At 50.5% G+C, this 16,606-nt stretch overlaps 1 protein-coding gene across 2 annotated transcripts in view, besides 2 other annotated features; it reads right to left on the bottom strand.

Moving 5' to 3' along the window:
* The window catches only part of ALLC (allantoicase), a 56,853-nt gene that overhangs the window by 32,066 nt on the left and 8,181 nt on the right, over window positions 1-16,606 (bottom strand). The window contains exon 1 of one of the 2 annotated variants that reach the window (NM_018436.4): window positions 12,312-12,406. The exons of the other annotated variant lie outside the window; for it this stretch is intronic. The gene's annotated coding sequence lies outside the window, so the exon portion shown is untranslated. Of the gene's footprint in view, window positions 1-12,311; window positions 12,407-16,606 lie in introns of those variants that run through there. 2 annotated transcript variants of the gene reach the window in all.
* Window positions 8,304-8,413: an enhancer, noted in NCBI's record as "active region_15238". NCBI's record gives its function as "activates an Ori minimal core promoter by ATAC-STARR-seq in GM12878 lymphoblastoid cells {active_cell/tissue: GM12878}" and the evidence as "EXISTENCE:reporter gene assay evidence [ECO:0000049][PMID:35858748]".
* Window positions 10,261-10,537: a silencer, noted in NCBI's record as "fragment chr2:3707659-3707935 (GRCh37/hg19 assembly coordinates)". NCBI's record gives its function as "represses an EF-1alpha promoter that drives an FKBP-Casp9 reporter gene in an ReSE screen in HepG2 liver carcinoma cells {active_cell/tissue: HepG2}" and the evidence as "EXISTENCE:reporter gene assay evidence [ECO:0000049][PMID:32094911]".

Genomic DNA, 16,606 nt, shown 5'->3' with positions numbered 1-16,606 from the left:
GGCCACGCTCTGGAGCCAGCAGAGACTGAGCCACAGAGACGGGGCCAGCGAGGGAGATTCGGGGCCATGCGGCCATGGCGGGTCCTAACACGGGACTTAGCCCAACTCCCCAGCACCCTCATGTTGAGGTTGAGAAAGCAGAGACTTGGAGAAATGGAAAGAGACCGTGAGGGAGGAAGGGAGAGTCTGGCCTGACCCCAGAGCCTCCCCGCCCCTAAGCCAAGAGGTGGCGTCTGTTCCTAGCCCTTTTCTCTACCCCTCATGGTGAAAGAGAAAAACTACACAAAAACACCTCACTAAGAATTATGTTCATTCACAAAAGAAGGAATACAAACAGTCCATGGATATGAGAAGTCAGCTCTTCCTTGAAATTACAGGAATATAATTAATTCTAAAATACCATTTTGTCTATGAAACGGACACTTTCTTAAAGCAAACAGGCACTTCCATAGTCTGTGGTCAGGAGCACGAATGGGAACAGCCCCTCCAGGGTGATTTGGTCACACCTGCGGGCTGGAAGGCGCTCCCGACATCCTGATTCGCTGGTTCTTTTGTGCTGAAGCCTCTGGGCTCACTGGAGTCTCCTCCTCCTGCGCCCTCATCCCCTGGTGATGTCAACCAGAGTCATTGCTCCTAAGATCATCCACACTCCAATTATCCCCAAATGCATAGCACCTTCCCGACATGAATTTCCATCTGACAACTCAAAACATCTCCCCTTGGACGTTGAATCAAATCTCAAAGCCGACAGGTCCAAGCCTCAGCTCTGGCTCTTCCTCAGCCTGCCCCATCGCAGCCTCCCACCTCCGGGAGGAGCAGCCCCATCCTCCTGGTCGCTCCAGCAAAAGCCTTGGTGGCACCTTCAGACCCCTTCCTCGCACCCAGTCTGTGCAGCATCCTGTCCACCTGCCCACTGGACCCAGAACATGGAATTATCTTTATTTATTTATTTATTTTTGAGATGGAGTCTCCCTCTGTCACCCAGGCTGGAGTGCAGCGGCGCAATCTCGGCTCACTGCAACCTCCACCTCCCAGGTTCAAGCGATTCTCCTGCCTCAGCCTCCCAAGTAGCTGGGATTACAGGTGCCTGCCACCACGCCCGGCTAATTTTTGTTTTGGGAGGGTTTTTTTTGAGACGGAGTCTTGCTCTGTTACCCAGGCTGGAGTGCAGCGGCATGATCTCAGCTCACTGCAACCGCCGCCTCCTGGGTTCAAGCAATTCTCCTGCCTCAGACTCCCGAGTAGCTGAGATTACAAGAACCTGCCACCACGCCTGGCTAATTTTTTTGTATTTTTAGTAGAGACGGGGTTTTACCATGCTGGCCAGGATGGTCTCCATCTCCTGACTTCGTGATCCACCCACCTCGGCCTCCCAAAGTGCTGGGATTACAGGCGTGAGCCACCACACCTGGCCGGAATTACTGTATTTTTAGTAGAGATGAGGTTTCACCATGTTGGCCAAGCTGGTCTCAAACTCCTGACCTTAGGTGATCCACCCTCCTTGGCCTCCCAAAGTGCTGGGATTACATGTGTGAGCCACTGTGCCTGGCCGGAATTATCTTCTAAACTGTCTGAGAAGGAAGGAAGTGTATGAGGGCAAAGGTGAAGCGAGATGGGCGTGTGCTGGTGACCATTGTTACTGCTGGACAGTGGGAATATTCAGGGACCATCTGATATTTTTACCCACCTGGGGTATGTTTGAAACTTTTCACAATCAAAGTCATACACATGGCCAGGCGCGGTGGCTCACTCCTGTAATCCCAACACTTTGGGAGGCTGAGGTGGGCAGATCACCTGAGGTCAGGAGTTCGAGACCACCCTGGCTAATATAGAGAAACCCCGTCTCTACTAAAAATAAAAAAATCAGCCAGGCGTGGTGGCAGGTGTCTGTAATCCCAGCTACTTGGGACGCTGAGGCAGGAGAATCACTTGAACCCAGGAGGCGGAGTTTGCGGTGAGCCGAGATTGCACCACTGCACTCCAGTCTGGGTGACAGAGCAAGACTCCATCTCAAAAAAAAAAAAAAAAAAAAAAAAAAAGTCATACACATTATGCATATTACACACTCACAGAGGCAGAGAGGGAGAGGAGAGACACCAGCACCGTCTCCCTCCTGGGTAATGAAATATCCCCAACACATGTGTCCCTGCCTGTCTACAAGCCGTCCTTAGCCCAGCCCCAGAGCAAGCTTTCAGAAACAAAAGTCATTCCCTGTTCACTCAGAATGAAAGCTGCTCTCCTCACCTTGGCCACAAGCACCTCCCTCACTTAGGGCCCTTTCCCTTCTGTCCTGCCTCTGCAACTTGGCAAAGGTGGTTCCCTTTGCCAGGAATGCTCTTCCCCACACAGCTGTGTGTTTGCTCCTTGCCTCCCTCCAAGCTTTTGCCTGACAATCACCTCCTCAGCAACACTGCCCTGATCTCCTATTTACAGGTCAGCCCCCACGGCCCCCAGGCATCCCAACACCCCTTATCCGGGCCCATCTTTGTTCCCAAATAATATGAGCATACATGTCACTGCTTCTCTGTAATATTTATTATCGTCCTGATGCGGTGGCTCACACCTGTAATCCCAGCACTTTGGGAGGCCGAGGCGGGCAGATCACCTGAGGTCGGGAGTTCAAGACCAGCCTAACCAATATAGAGAAACCCCATCTCTACTGAATATACAAAGATTAGCCAGGCATGGTGGCGCATGCCTGTAATCCCAGCTACTCGGGAGGCTGAGGCAGGAGAATCACTTGAACCCGGAAGGCGGAGGTTGCGGTGAGCCGAGATTGTGCCATTGCACTCCAGCCTGGGCAACAAAAGTGAAACTCAGTCTCAAAAAAATGTATTTATTTATTATCTGCCTTTCCGGATTAGATGCGCACTCCACACTGGCAGTAAGTTTTGTTCCATTCACCAGTGTGTCCTTAGTGAACCCCCTAACATTTACTGTGAGTTCACAGGAATGTCGTGCGCTGTTCATACAGTTTATCTCATTTCGATCGTCAGAACAACCTGTGATTTTGGTATCATTCACATGCTACAAGTGAAAAGGAACGCGTCTTTGACAGATCAAGTAAGTTGTCACAGCCCGCAGCTGCAAAGTGAACCATATGGCCAACCGCGATGTATCCAAACGTGACTGATAGCGGAAAGCCCCTGGAAGAGCGCTGGAGCTCGATGAGTGTCACGGGAGTGTTGGTTAAACAAACTCCACCTGGTTCTGTGCTCATTCATTCAGCACCGTGTGCAGAGCTCCCAGATGCACAGACGCCATGCCCGGGGCTGAGCATGCACTTGCTCTTCAGCGGCTCGTGGTGCAGTGGAGGGGACAGACGAGGTGGTGACCATCCCAGGGAATGCCGTGACAGAGGCCCCCTCGAGGTGCAGCGGGGGACTGAAGACACACGCTCAGTGAGCTCTGCGGGCTCAGGAACCTCCCTTTAGGGGTGGATGCCAGGCTGGGTGGTATAGGGAAGGACAGACAACCAGGCAGGGGAGACCATGGGTGCAGGCAGGGAGGCCAATGATCCAGGGAACCACAGGAGCTGATGGTGCCTTTGCTGGGACCCATATTGTCCAATCTGGAAGCCAGTGGCCACACCTAGGTATTTAACACATTTAAACTTTTCAGTTACTTGAAATTATATAAAACTCAAAATCCAGTTCCTCCTTTGTTCTGACCACATTTTGTGTGCTCCCTAGGCACCTGCGGCCTCCCTGCTGAGCAGCACAGGTGTGGAACAGGCCTGTCGTCAAAGAGGATTTGACTGGACTGTGCTGGAAGAGCTCCGAAAAGATTACGACGCAGAGCTCACCCACCACCGTCGCCCCCACCATGCAATGCAGAATTTGAAACGGTGCTAAACCGCCACACAGACACACAACCTACCGACTGGCTGGAATTAAAATCGCGTCTTCACAGAGCTCGTAGCAGCATCGCGGCGTGCTCATCAAGGCTGGGTGATGCTGACTGCGCGCTGCCCTGTTTGCTGTGCCACAGCACAAGCCTGGCTGGGCATATATATTTATTATCTGCCTCTCCTGATTACATGCACACTCCACACAGGGAGGCTGTGGGTCGAAGGGTGTAGATGCTGAGGCTGCAGCGTGGGCGGGTTACAGACTAAGCAGCCTGGCTGTGGCCTGTGGGTCTCACCAAGTCCACGGGCTCCCCCTGCACACACCCCTTCATCATTGTCCTCTGCTCCACGCAAAATCACGCAGTGCTGGGCCAGTCACGGGCACACAGCAGAGGCTTGCCGACTGTGTGATACGCTAAGTCACTACAAAACACTGGATACACCAGCGGTTCTCTGGAAACAGCTTAACTTTTTCCCCATCAGCTCCAGCAAGCTCACTATGCCCCGGTACAGAGCGCTCAGGCATTTTGCCTAAGTAATTAATGTAATGTTCCCTCCCAGCCACCCCCCTGTGGTGGGAGAAGCCAGGGGTCCTGGTAACGTGGGGCATGACCCACTCCATCTGTATTGATCGGCTTCCCTGGGAAGCAGAGGGCACGGGAGGTGCAGGCTGGCCTTTTGTGCATACAGTCTTTCATCTTTTCCTTTGGTGTGCCTCCGATAACCTACACAGAGCATTCCATCTTACATGCATATACCAGAGGCTGTAAATTCAACAGAGAAAGAGATCAAAAGAAAGAGAAAAGCATTTATACCCTTTCTCAAGGTACCAGCAGCCTCCACACTTCACTCTGTGTAGCCCCACCCCACTGAAGCTCACATTCAACTTAGTAAAACACTTCAATTTGACCCAGCAATCCCATTACTGGGTATATACCCAAAGGAATATAAATAGTTCTACTATAAAGATACATGCACGCATATGTTCATTGCAGCACTATTCACAATAGCAAAGACACGGAATCAACCCAAATGCCCATCAATGATAGACTGGATAAAGAAAATGTGGTACATATAGACCATGGAATACTATGCAGCCATAAAAAGGAATGAGATCATGTCCTTTGCAGGAACCTGGGTAGATCTGGAAGCCATTATCCTCAGCAAACTAACGCAGGAAGAGAAAACCAAACACCACATGTTCTCACTCATAAGTGGGAGCTGAACGATGAGAACACACGGACGCAGGAAGGGGAACATCACATACTCCGGCCTGTCGGGGGTGGGGGGAGGAGGAGCATCAGGACAAATAGCTAATGCATGTGGGGATTAACACCTAGGTGATGGGTTGATCTGTGCCGCAAACCACCATGGCACACGTTTACCTACGTAGCAAACATGCACATCCGCACATGTATCCCAGAACTTAAAATAAAATTTAAAAAAAAACACTTCAACTCAGTACTTCAAAAACAAAAAAAAAGGGAAAAGAATGCTCCCTCTGGAAATGTTTCTCTTTGGGAAATAAATAAAAGCTCGTCTTCAGAAAACATTAGTCAGTGTAGCGATGCCATCTACAGCTGATGCCGCCAAGCAGACAGGCCCTTTCCAGGATCCGTCTCGCTGCGACAGGCACCACCCGAGGTCAACAGGCAGGCTGACTCATCAAACCTGTTATTCAAACTAGGTGAACCCACTTTCCTTAAGCTCATTACAAATATTTTTGAATATATTTATATATATTTGAGGTGCCATTTGTGGTACCTCAAAAAATCATAACAGTTTTCAAGACTAAGTTTGTGTTTCCAAATGAAATCGAGCATTTGGAAACATCTGGTTTGGGGGGGGGTTTTGGTTTTGTTTTTTTTTTTGGAGACAGAGTCTTTCTTTGTTGCCCAGGTTGGAATGCAGTGGCACGATCATAGCTCACTGCAGCCTCAAACTCTTGGGCTCAAGTGATCTTCCCACCTCAGCCTCTGAGTAGCTGGGATTACAGGTGCGCACCACCACACCAAACCATATTTTTACTTTTTTTGTAGAGACAGGGTCTCACTATGTTGCCCGGGCAGGTCTTGAACTCCTATTTTCAAGTGATTCTCCCACCTGAGCCTCCCAAAATGCTGGGATTACAGGCATGAGTCACAACACCTGGCCCGAAACATCTGCCTTAATTGGCAGAAATGAATTTAACTTGGGGTGAAAAATTCTCCATAGCCTTTGTCCTTAGCCTTCCCACAAATCGATGTCCACTCACTGACCCCCATGCCTGCAAGCTTCTCTAGAGAACAGGAGTTGTAAAGATACCTTTTCAGCAGCTTCCAAGAAATATTTCCTTAAACTGTTTTTATTATTCTCTTGGCCAAGCTCCATTTGTAGTTAAGACCCTGCTACTCAAATGTGTTTAAAATGTGTTACCTTGAGATAAACGCAAAACAAACAGACCCTTGTAAAATCCTACAGAGGAGCCACCATAGAGATAAGTTTCAAAGGCACATTGGCCTCTGGTTGAATAAACTGCTTCCATTTCATAGAAGCAGCAGGGGTGGCAAAGTGGTGGCAGGGGTATAAAATTCAGCCACCGTTTGCTCTGCAGCCACTCATATCCTTTTCTACTACTTTGTCTTTAGGCAAAAAAGACAGACCTTTAACTAAGAGAGATGTCCCACCACAAGGTGCTGGGTACGAGGCTCACATGGTTTGGTGCTGGCAGTGGGTGTCTAAGTGTTCCATGGTTGCACTGACGTGGGAACCACTTGCTATACATGGTATTTAAATTTAAATCTAATGACATTCAAAATCCAGTTCTTCAGTCATATGAGCCACATTTTACATGCTAGGAAGTTACATGTGGCTGATGGCTACTATACTGAACAGAACAGAAGAGATTTTCCATCATTACAGAAAGTTCTGCCAGACAGCACAGGTGTGTGGTTTTACAAAGCATGTTTGTGCATGTTATAGAAAAGGATCCATTATTTCAATATCCTTTCTTATTAATGACCTTAGAGGTAATATCAATTTTTAGTAGTGATCTTAGAAATTTTCAGTAACCATTCATCAACATAGGAAACCCTCAATGACACTGCAAAACCATCTATTTGGCTACTTACCATTGAAGACCTACTGTGCACCAGGCAGATACTGTTTCTGACATAGAGTCTTTTTTTTTTTCCAACTTTTAAGTTCAGGGGTACATGTGCAGGATGTGCAGGTTTGTTCCGTAGGTAAACGTGTGCCATGGTGGTTTGCTGCACAGATCAACCCATCACCTAGGTATTAAGCCCAGCACCCATTAGCTATTCTTCATCACTGATGCTCTCCCTCCTCCCGACTTCCGACAGGCCCCAGTGTGTGATGTTCCCCCCAACATGTCTATGTGTTCTCCCTGTTCAGCTCCCACTTATAAGCGAGAACATGCAGTGTTTGGTTTTCTGTTCCCATGTTAGTTTGCTGAGGATGATGGCTTCCAGCTCCATTCATGTTCCTACAAAGGACATGATCTCATCTTTTATGGCTGCATAGTATTCCATGGTATATACGCACCATGTTTTCTTTATCCAGTCTATCATTGATGAGCATTTAGGTTGGTTCTATGTCTTTGCTATCATGGATAGTACTGCAGTGAACAGGTGCATGCATGTGTCTTTGTAACAGAATGATTTACATTTCTTTGGGTATATACCCAGTAATGGGATTGCTGGGTACAATGGTATTTCTGCCGCTAAAACCACCTTACAGTGCAGGCACTATGTTTCCATACTCCCCATGGAAAGTGAACTCATGTCTTCCTCTGACTCCGAAGCTAGTGCTCTTCCATCACACTGGGGGTCGCAGCATTGCCAGGCCCCCCAGTAATAAACACTTTGCAGGTCTATATCCCCTCGCCACTGCAACACAAAGCAGCTTCAGACGTTACATAAGTGAATGAAGGCACCTGTGTTCCAGCAAAACTTTATTTATGGACACTGAAATTTGGATTTCATACCAGTTTTATGTGTCAAGAACTATTCTCTTTCGAGAGTAGGGTGACTGCAGGCTAGAAGAATGGATTGTACTCAGGTAATGGACACCCTAAATGCCCTGGGCTGATCACCATCCATCATATACACATAACACACTTTCACATATACCCAATACATTTGTAAAATAAAAATTATATATAAAAAAAGAATATCAGGGGTTCTTCATGCTGTAACATAGGTTCTGCTGCAGGTGGCGCCTTGAAATTAGTCCGTATATCTCATCAGCCACTAATTCCTAAAGCATCCACTCATGACTAGGAATGTGCTAATTACAAATGACCTGCCTGCAGGGCCTTGGCGTAAACACTTCCGCCCTGTGGTGAGCAGGATGTGCTAATTACAAAGAACTGCCTGCGGGGCCTTGGAGTACACACTTCCACCCTGGGTGAGCAGGGTGTGCTCCAGAATGCATGCTCTCTAATCCTGAGACCTATGTATTTCTCACCATATATGCAAAGCAGAATTTGCAGACATAACGAAGCCACAGACCCTAAGACGGGCCTGGGTAATTCTGGACGATCTGGGTGGGCCCAGCATCATCACACAAGGCCTTAAAAGCAGGCGACTTTCTCTGGCTGCAAACAGAACTGTGGAGCAGAAAAGGAAGTCAGAAAGAATCCAAGTGTGACTTTGAATCAGGCTTCAAAAGAAAGAAGCCACATCATGGCTGAGCTCTGAAGTTCAGGGCTCATGGGCAGAGACTTGAGAGAGGCCTTGGGAGGTCAGGGCAGCCCCTGCTCAGTCCCACCAGCTGAAGGAGCTGGATTCTGCCCACAACCCCAACAAGGCAGAAGAGGATGCTCCCAGAGCCTCTGAGGGGGAACCCAGCCCACCTGGATTTTGATTTCAGCCTCATGAAACCCAGAGCAGAGGGATCCAATGAGCCTACCTGGAGGTCTGCCAAACAGACCATGAGATCAGAAATCTGCATTCTGTAAGACACTAAGGACCTGTAATAACAGCAACATGAAACTATAATACACACCTAGAGCTTTTCATCCAAACTTCTCAACAACCAAGAAGAGTTATCAGTCACCACCAAAGTGAAAAGCATCGTCGGAGAGGTGCTAAGAGGTTTAGGCTGAGAGGGGCAATGACCCTTGACAGCTTCCCAAAGCAAAGACTTGCAGCATCTTTTGTGCCCAGTTCACAAGCCCAGGACACTTAACCTGAATTCCAGGGAACAGCCCCAGCACTGGTCTGTTTCTCTGGGAATACTCATTCTTTTCCCTCCAGCAGATGGTCCTGGGCCCCAAGCATTTCTCCTAGAACATCAAGCTCCTCTTGTTTCACAGCAGATCCAGCCCAGGCAGCAGCCCCCACAGGCCAAGCTTAATTAAAGCCTTCCCTGAACCCCTGCTTGAGGCTTTTCTGCCAATGACCCAGCAGCTAAATGCTTGCGTGCATTGAGGTCAGATGCCTGGCATGGTTTTCAAAACATGTGTGTACCATGAGCCAGGAGCAGAAGGAAGGGAACTGATGTCTCTAAGCATGAACTCTATAGCTCCATATCTGTTCCCGTATCTCCCGTACTCCAAGCCTTGGAGTCACACATTATTATACCCATTGCTAAGGAACTCAGAGACGGGACGGAGGCTCTCACCCAATGTCATTCAGCTAATGAACAGGGAGGGGGACGGGTTGTGAATGCAGATGAGTCCGACCCCAGGCCTATGCTGTTTGAAACCACAGCCCCTCTCACTTTATTATGAAAAAAACAGTGTTAGATATAAGTCCTAAATTTCTCTTCAAAGAATCAGTATGTCAGTATGTTCAATTATTTGCCTTCTACTTTTAACTTAACTTCCTCATAAAGCAACCTTTTTTGATCACCTGCTCCACCCTGACTCATTCCGATCACCTGCTCCACCCTGACTCATTCCGATCACCTGCTCCACCCTGACTCATTCCGATTTCCTGCCCCACCCTGACTCATTCCGTTTTCCTGCTCTGCCATAACCATTTTTCCCACCAAACCACTCACCCCATCACTCTCTTTAAATCAGCCAATCAGAATTAGTTTAGCCTGTGCGGTCTAACCCTAGCCAATAGGGGAATGATACAGCAGCAGGGGCCACGTGCGTCAGGAATAAGAACCCCGTCCCCTCCCTTGTCCAGGTGTGCGCCATTGCTCCATCTGTGAGGGCACACCCTTCTATAGCAGTAAATGGTCTTGCCGAGAAGAAAAAAAAAATTGATATTCAAGGGCTGTTTCTTTGGCGGCACCGAAACTTTATTTATAATAACAGTAAAGGCAGCATCATCTCCCCAAATATCGCAAAATTTATTCTCTGTGTTCTCCCAGTGTCTTAGCCTATTTGTGTCGCTGTGAAGGAATGCCTGAGGCTGGACAATTCATTAAAAAAAGGGGTTTACTTGGCTCATGGTTCTGCAGGCGGTACAGAAAGCACGGCGCTAGCATATGCTTCCAGCGAGGGCCTCAGGCTGCTTCCACTCCTGGTAGGAAGTGAAGGGAGCCGGCGTGCAGCCACCACAGGGCAGAAGAGGAAGCGTGGGAGGGACGCCAGGCTCCTCCTAACAAGCAGCTCTCACCAGACTAACAGAGGAAGAACCGTCTCACCACCTCCAGAACGGCACCAAGCCATTCATGAGGGATCCGCCCCCATAACCCAGACTCCTCCCGCTGGGCCCCACCTCCAACACGGGGGATCTGATTGCACCATGAGGTTTGGGGGGACAAACATCCAAACCATAGCACCCCACAACCTCAAAGGCTGTTATGTGAAAAGTCTCCCCACCCCTAAGATAAAAAAATGTGAGAAAGGAGAGACCGTTTAAAGCTGGGCCTCCAGGCCACAGCACAGGCCCAACCAGTGTCTGCTGTGAAAGGGCCGTGACATTTGTCTTTCCTAAGTTTCTCTCCTCAGCCACAAATCCCAGAAGTATCCACAGTGGCCTGTGCTGTGCAGGGCCCCGTGGAGGTTCCCGAGAGATTCCAGGCAGCCAAGAGCTGGCGGTATAAGGGGCCGTTCTCAGCCCTGGTGGAGGTCACAGCTCCACGACTCTTGCGCCATGAGCTTGCTGAGCTCTCTGCTCACTGGTCCCTGCCGTTTCTGTTGATAAAATAGCCAAGGTCTAGGCAAGAAAGGAAGGAGCCACGCGACCTCGGCTGAGGCCACCAGCTCAGCAGCTCACAGTGCTCAGACAGCCTGTGGCAGCTGCTTCTAAGCTCATTGCTGCAACCCCTCCCACTGCCTGCTCAAGGGAGCTCTTAAATACATTTTCTGCTGTGGCTGAGACCAGACCCAGGGTCAGCTCTGATGTTTGAGGAACATGCTAAAGTTTTACCTGCAAATTTCAACTTAATCACCGCAAATGAGGAGCATTGTCATGGGTTACGGCAAGGCGATGAGGCAATGACTCTCTAAAATAGAGTCATGAAATTTCAGGCAGTCAAGTGGTGCTCACACTATTTTTTCTTTTGAGATTAGCCTTAAAATAAGAAAAGGCATGACCAGGCAAGTCTAGGAAGCACAAGAAAGAGAGACCTCCCTCTGACAAGCAGGGAAGGCTGTGCTGATGGAAGAGTTACTCCCTCGTAAAGAAGAAAACCTTCAGGGGCTTTGTCATCGCTGTCAATAAGTTCCGAAGAAGCCTTTGGCCAAAAGTATGAGATTTATGGTGAAATAATAAAAGTGGTTTGTTCAAATTTGGGACAAAATTAGAGTGACCTTGAGCAGGGACTCTGAGCAGCCCAAGGTCAACTGCACGAGACTCCTGACTACCGGCAACTCTTGGTATATATTTACATTTAGTTCTACTTTGTGACTCTTGTTTTGAATATAGGTTTACTTCACCATGGCCTTAGTTGTTTAGGTTTTTTTTTTTTTTTTTTTGAGACAGGGTCTCACTCTGTCATCCAGGCTGGAGTACAGTGGCATGATCTTGGCTCATTGCAACCTCCACCCCAATCCCATCCCGGGCTCAAGCAATTCTCCCATGTCAGCCTCCCAAGTAGCTGGGACCACAGGCACGCACCACCATGCCTGGCTATTTTTTTGATTTTTGGTAGAAATGGGGTCTTGCCATGTTGTTCAGGCTGGTCTCAAACTCCTCAACTCAAGCAATCCACCCACCTCGGCCTCCCAAAGTACAGGGATTACAGGCATGAGCCACCATGCCCAGCCTCTTTAGATTTTTTTTTAAGAAGGCCAAAGTCACATGATTTGAAACCAAACAGAGCAGTGACCAGAGCCCAGAAGCCTGACCCACCTGTGGGGCCCCTCCAGGTGTTTGGGCCACGCCCGGTACCAACACAGTTCAACGGCACAAAGTGGTGTCTGTCACCATCTACCCTCTGTCACCTTCCAAGTGTCGAGGGTTCGTTGCATGACTGAAATTCATCTCTGTCACCCTATTCTTTTGGCAAAGCCCACCTTAAAGATAGCAAGGTATTTATAAACCACACTCCAGCTCACCCAGCAGTCAGAAATCAAGTATTCATAAATGGATCTCTTGCTCCCCAGAAGCCAGCCAAGGTCCCACGGTGCTTGAGTGCCAGCTCAGAGAGAATGTATAGGGGCCTGAGGTAGAGACAGAACTTTGCAGAGATTGGCTGTGCCTGTATGATGTCACAAGGGTTGCAGAGAGGTGGAAGTAACAGGGGGAGCAGCCCCTCCCCGGAGAAGCCAAGCAGGCCTCTGCAAGACCCTCGCACAAGGCCCGAAGCCAGACATGGTCCCTGCTGGTCCCAGGGCCCTTCCCTGTCCCTAACAAAGCTGCCTCCGGCCACTGGCCTGGGCCTGAAACCCCCACCTTCCTGGTCCGGCCAGTAACCTGACTTAAAGTTTTATCTCTAGACGTCACCTATTCACTAATCATCATTAACTCAGAAAACACTGAGCACACCCAGCAGTGGGTCCTGACCTACTAGAGAAGACAGGGGCCCTTGGGAGGGTTTGGCTAGAGCCCCTCAGCCCCAGAAAAAGTAAATACACACAAAATTTTCATGGAATTTAAAGAAGCCCACAGATGCTTAAGAAAGGGCACCTTGCCAAGTGGATGCTAGGCCTGTGGCATACAAAACAACACGTGCCGCCTGCCTTCAAAGGCCCCACTGTCTGCAGAAGAACTTTCCATGCAGAAAGAAACAGCTGAGCCCGGCTTCGACATGCAGTAACAGACGTTGCCTTGCTTCACCACAGCCACCCTGCGGGGCAAGCTATCCACTCTGCAGATGAATCAGCTGGGGCCTTGAAGGCAGGAAAGCCACCCGAGGTCACCTGCGCAGGGAGGGACTGAGCTGGAACCAGAACCCAGCACAGCAGATGGCGCGCACAGGGGCCCTTGGGGCTCCAGAAAGACAACCTGCGTCCCAGGGAGATCCATCACCCACACGCTCCTTTTTCCTTCCTGGGTTTTCTTTCCCCAGGGCCTGACCGGCCTTCTCCTCCTGAACTCCAGCTTTCCCAGAGGAAAGCAAAGCCATTTGAAAGGCCGGCTCAAGGCCACCTCCAACTGAGAACCCCACCCCCAACCCCAGCCCGTCTCTCAGCCCCGCCACCCAGCCGTAGTTAGGATGCGTCCAGCGCCTGTTGTCTGATCTCAGCTCGCCCGGCCTTTGAGTCCATGTTTACACATCTGTCTGCCCATCCAGATGAAATTCTTTAAGAACGAAACCACATCCTATGCTGCCTTCCATAGCTGACTGTATTTTAATGAATTAATGCACGTGGCTTCGTCCCTGGCAGTTCTTGTCAGCCGTGACTTCCCCGCCACAGCAGTGCAGTGCCCCCGCTCGCCGCCTCGGATCAGTCACAAAGCTCACGGTGCGGAGAACAGAAGGGCCTATTTTTATCCTCGTGGTTTCGCTAAGCCTAGGCTGTGGCACCGATAAAGCCATGGAAGAAGGCACCCTGACCCCTGCCCTCCACACCCTGACCTCTGCCCTCCACACCCTGACCCCTGCCCTCCACACCCTGACCTCTGCCCTCCACACCGAGCTGGCTCCTACAATCTAATGTGCTTCCAAATCACCTACGAGCTGGTTAAAGTGCAGATTCTGACGCTGCAGATTTGAGATACGGCCTGAGGCTTGAGATTTCTCCAAGCTCCAGGGCGATGCTGGGGCTGCTGGGCCATGGCCAGAGGTTGAGCACAGGGCTCTGCCAGCTAGCTGCCCCATCCGACGTGGCAGCCACTAGCTATGCTAAATTCAATACTTCTCTAACGCTAAAATCAACTTAATTTAGTGAAGTTAAAAGTTTGGATGCTCTGTCTTATGAGGTAAGTTTCTAGTGCCCAACAGCCACATGCGGCAGAGGCGACAGGCTGGGCTGCACAGCTACAGAACTTTCCATCGTGGCACAGCAGACGTCCTGTGGACCCATCTGTGGGGCGGGAGGAGAACAAGAGCTGGCAGAGAGGTGGTCCCAGAGCAGTGGCCTGAGCCAGACGTGAGGCTGTTCTCGGAGCTCCGTAGGGGCTTCAACCCTCCTGCCTTGGTCCTGCCAAGACATGAGGATTCTCATGGAAAGGGCTGGAGCACCCTCAGAATAATGCCGCCATCCCCGGCCTCCCTGGGCTCCCAGGAGGCAAGGAGATCAGCCTGCGATGATGGAGGTGCTGGCTGCCTGGACGGGCTCCTCCCGACCCCTGCGCAGCCCCTGGCTGAAGTGGGTGTCCCGCTCACTAGGTGGGGACCTGATGTTGAGGAAATGTCCACTCTTCAGGCACAACAACCTCCCACCTCTTCCTCCCCCCGCCCCATTCCACTGGGAGCTCGCTGGCTCTGCTGACAGCAGGCTACCCACATCCCCCACCGGAGCGGGCAACAGGCTTTGCAGCGCTCCAGCAGAAGCACAGGGCAGCGCTTAGGGGCTCCAGCAGAAGCACAGGGGCAGAGCTCAGGGGCAATGCTCGAGGCTTGTCTTATGGCTCCAGCTGCAAGAGGCCAGTGGTTTCCTTAATGCTGTCCCTTTAATTAGGCAAATACTTAAAACTTGTCATTCTAAGGCTGGGCACAGTGGTCCATGCTTATAATCCCAGCACTTCGGGAGGCTGAGACGGGAGGATCCCTTGAGCCCAGGGGTTTGAGACCAACCTGGGCAACACAGTGAGACCCCATCTCTGAAAAACAAAAGTTTTTTAATTAGACAAGCATGATGACACACACCTGTATTCCCAGCTACTTGGGAGGCTGAGGTGGGAGGATCGCTTGAGCCCAGCAGTTCAAGGCTACAATGAGCTGTGATCGCACCACTGCTCTCCAGCCTGGGCAATAGAGTGAGACCCTATCTCAAAAAACAAACAAACAAACTAGTCATTCCTTTGACAGTCACATAAACTGTGCATGTTTTCCATGTTGCCCACCCTCATACAACACTCCTGGGACACATGTGCCAGCCTGGGTAGGGCAACTTCAAGGTGCTGGGCCCCCTCCACCTGCATCCACGCCCCATTCTTCTCCCCGAATGTGGGTGGAGCCCAGTGGCTCACTTCTGGTGAACAGGACACAGCAAAGGTGATGGGTGTCACTTTCCAGGTGAAGTTCCGGAAGCCTGTGACTTACGTCTTGACCCCTGCCCCTGCCTTTTCTCCTTTATTGCCCTGAAGGAGCAGCTGTCATGGTGCAACCTGCCCTGCAGAGAGGCCAGCAGCCAGCACGGAGCTGACCCCACCAGTGACCTGGGGAGTGCACGAGGAAGCAGTTCCTGTCCGCAGAGGGAGGAGAGTAGCCCACGGACACCTCGACTGCAGGCTGAGAGAGGGTCCAGGGAGCGGCTCAGGCACTGACCACAGACACAGGGAGGTCACGGATGCTGCTTTAAGCCTCTAATTCGTGCTAACTTGCTGTGCCGCATTACACAGCCAATGCAAAGCGCTTCTTTATCCATGGCAACCTTCGCCTGAAAACAGTCATGCGGTCCTCTTTCTGCGCCTTCCAGGCAGAGTTGCAAATGCCCTGTCTGTGACACGACCCCAGGGAAATGGGGCATGAAGTCCAGAACTGACTGAGAATACGTTTCTTCCACTCAGCTGAAGGGAAACACGCAGAAAAGACAGTCACGTTTCCTGCACACCTGAGGGTTCACTGAGAGTCACACGCACTGACTGTGTCATCCCAGAGCTTCTGGCAGTGTCTGGCTCGTGACAAGTGCTCAGGGAGTGTGTCTTGAGCTCTTCAGCTTCCATCAGATGATAACCTGAATGTGTGGGTCAGATGAACTAGCTTTCATCTAGAAAAAGCACAACCCTAAGGAGCAAGCTTGGGCAGCCTCCTAGACGGCCCCAGCAATCCTCACCTCCTGGCACTCATACGTTGGTAAATCCCTTCCATGCTGAGCAGGACCACCCAGTGCAACCAGCAGGGCCTTACAGAAATGGCAGAGCGTGGTTCCGAGGCTGCGCCATCAAAGCCACTGCAGCCGTTGCTTTTCCTCCCGTGTGGGGGATGCAGCCACAGTCGCAGTCCACCGCCTCTCCTCACGCTCACACCTCTTTACAATGTGACTTTGCAGGTTCTCCCATCAAGGGCTCTTGGATCACTCACATGGAGGGAAGCCAGCTGCCTTGTCATAGGGTCATGCAGCAGCCCTCTAGAGAGGCCCACATGGCAGGATCCAAGTCCTCCTGCCAACAGCCAGCAATAACTCGCAGGCATGTGAGCAAACCACCTTGGCAGCTGATCCTCTGGCCCAGTCAAGCCTTCAGATGAGACCGTGGCACCAGCAGATATCTTGAGTGCAATCTCTTGAGACTCCTTGAGACAGAA

This window comes from Homo sapiens, chromosome 2 (assembly GCF_000001405.40).
Source record: "Homo sapiens chromosome 2, GRCh38.p14 Primary Assembly".
NCBI classification, from domain to species: domain Eukaryota; kingdom Metazoa; phylum Chordata; class Mammalia; order Primates; family Hominidae; genus Homo; species Homo sapiens.
This window is presented reverse-complemented; position numbering and strand designations above follow the sequence as displayed.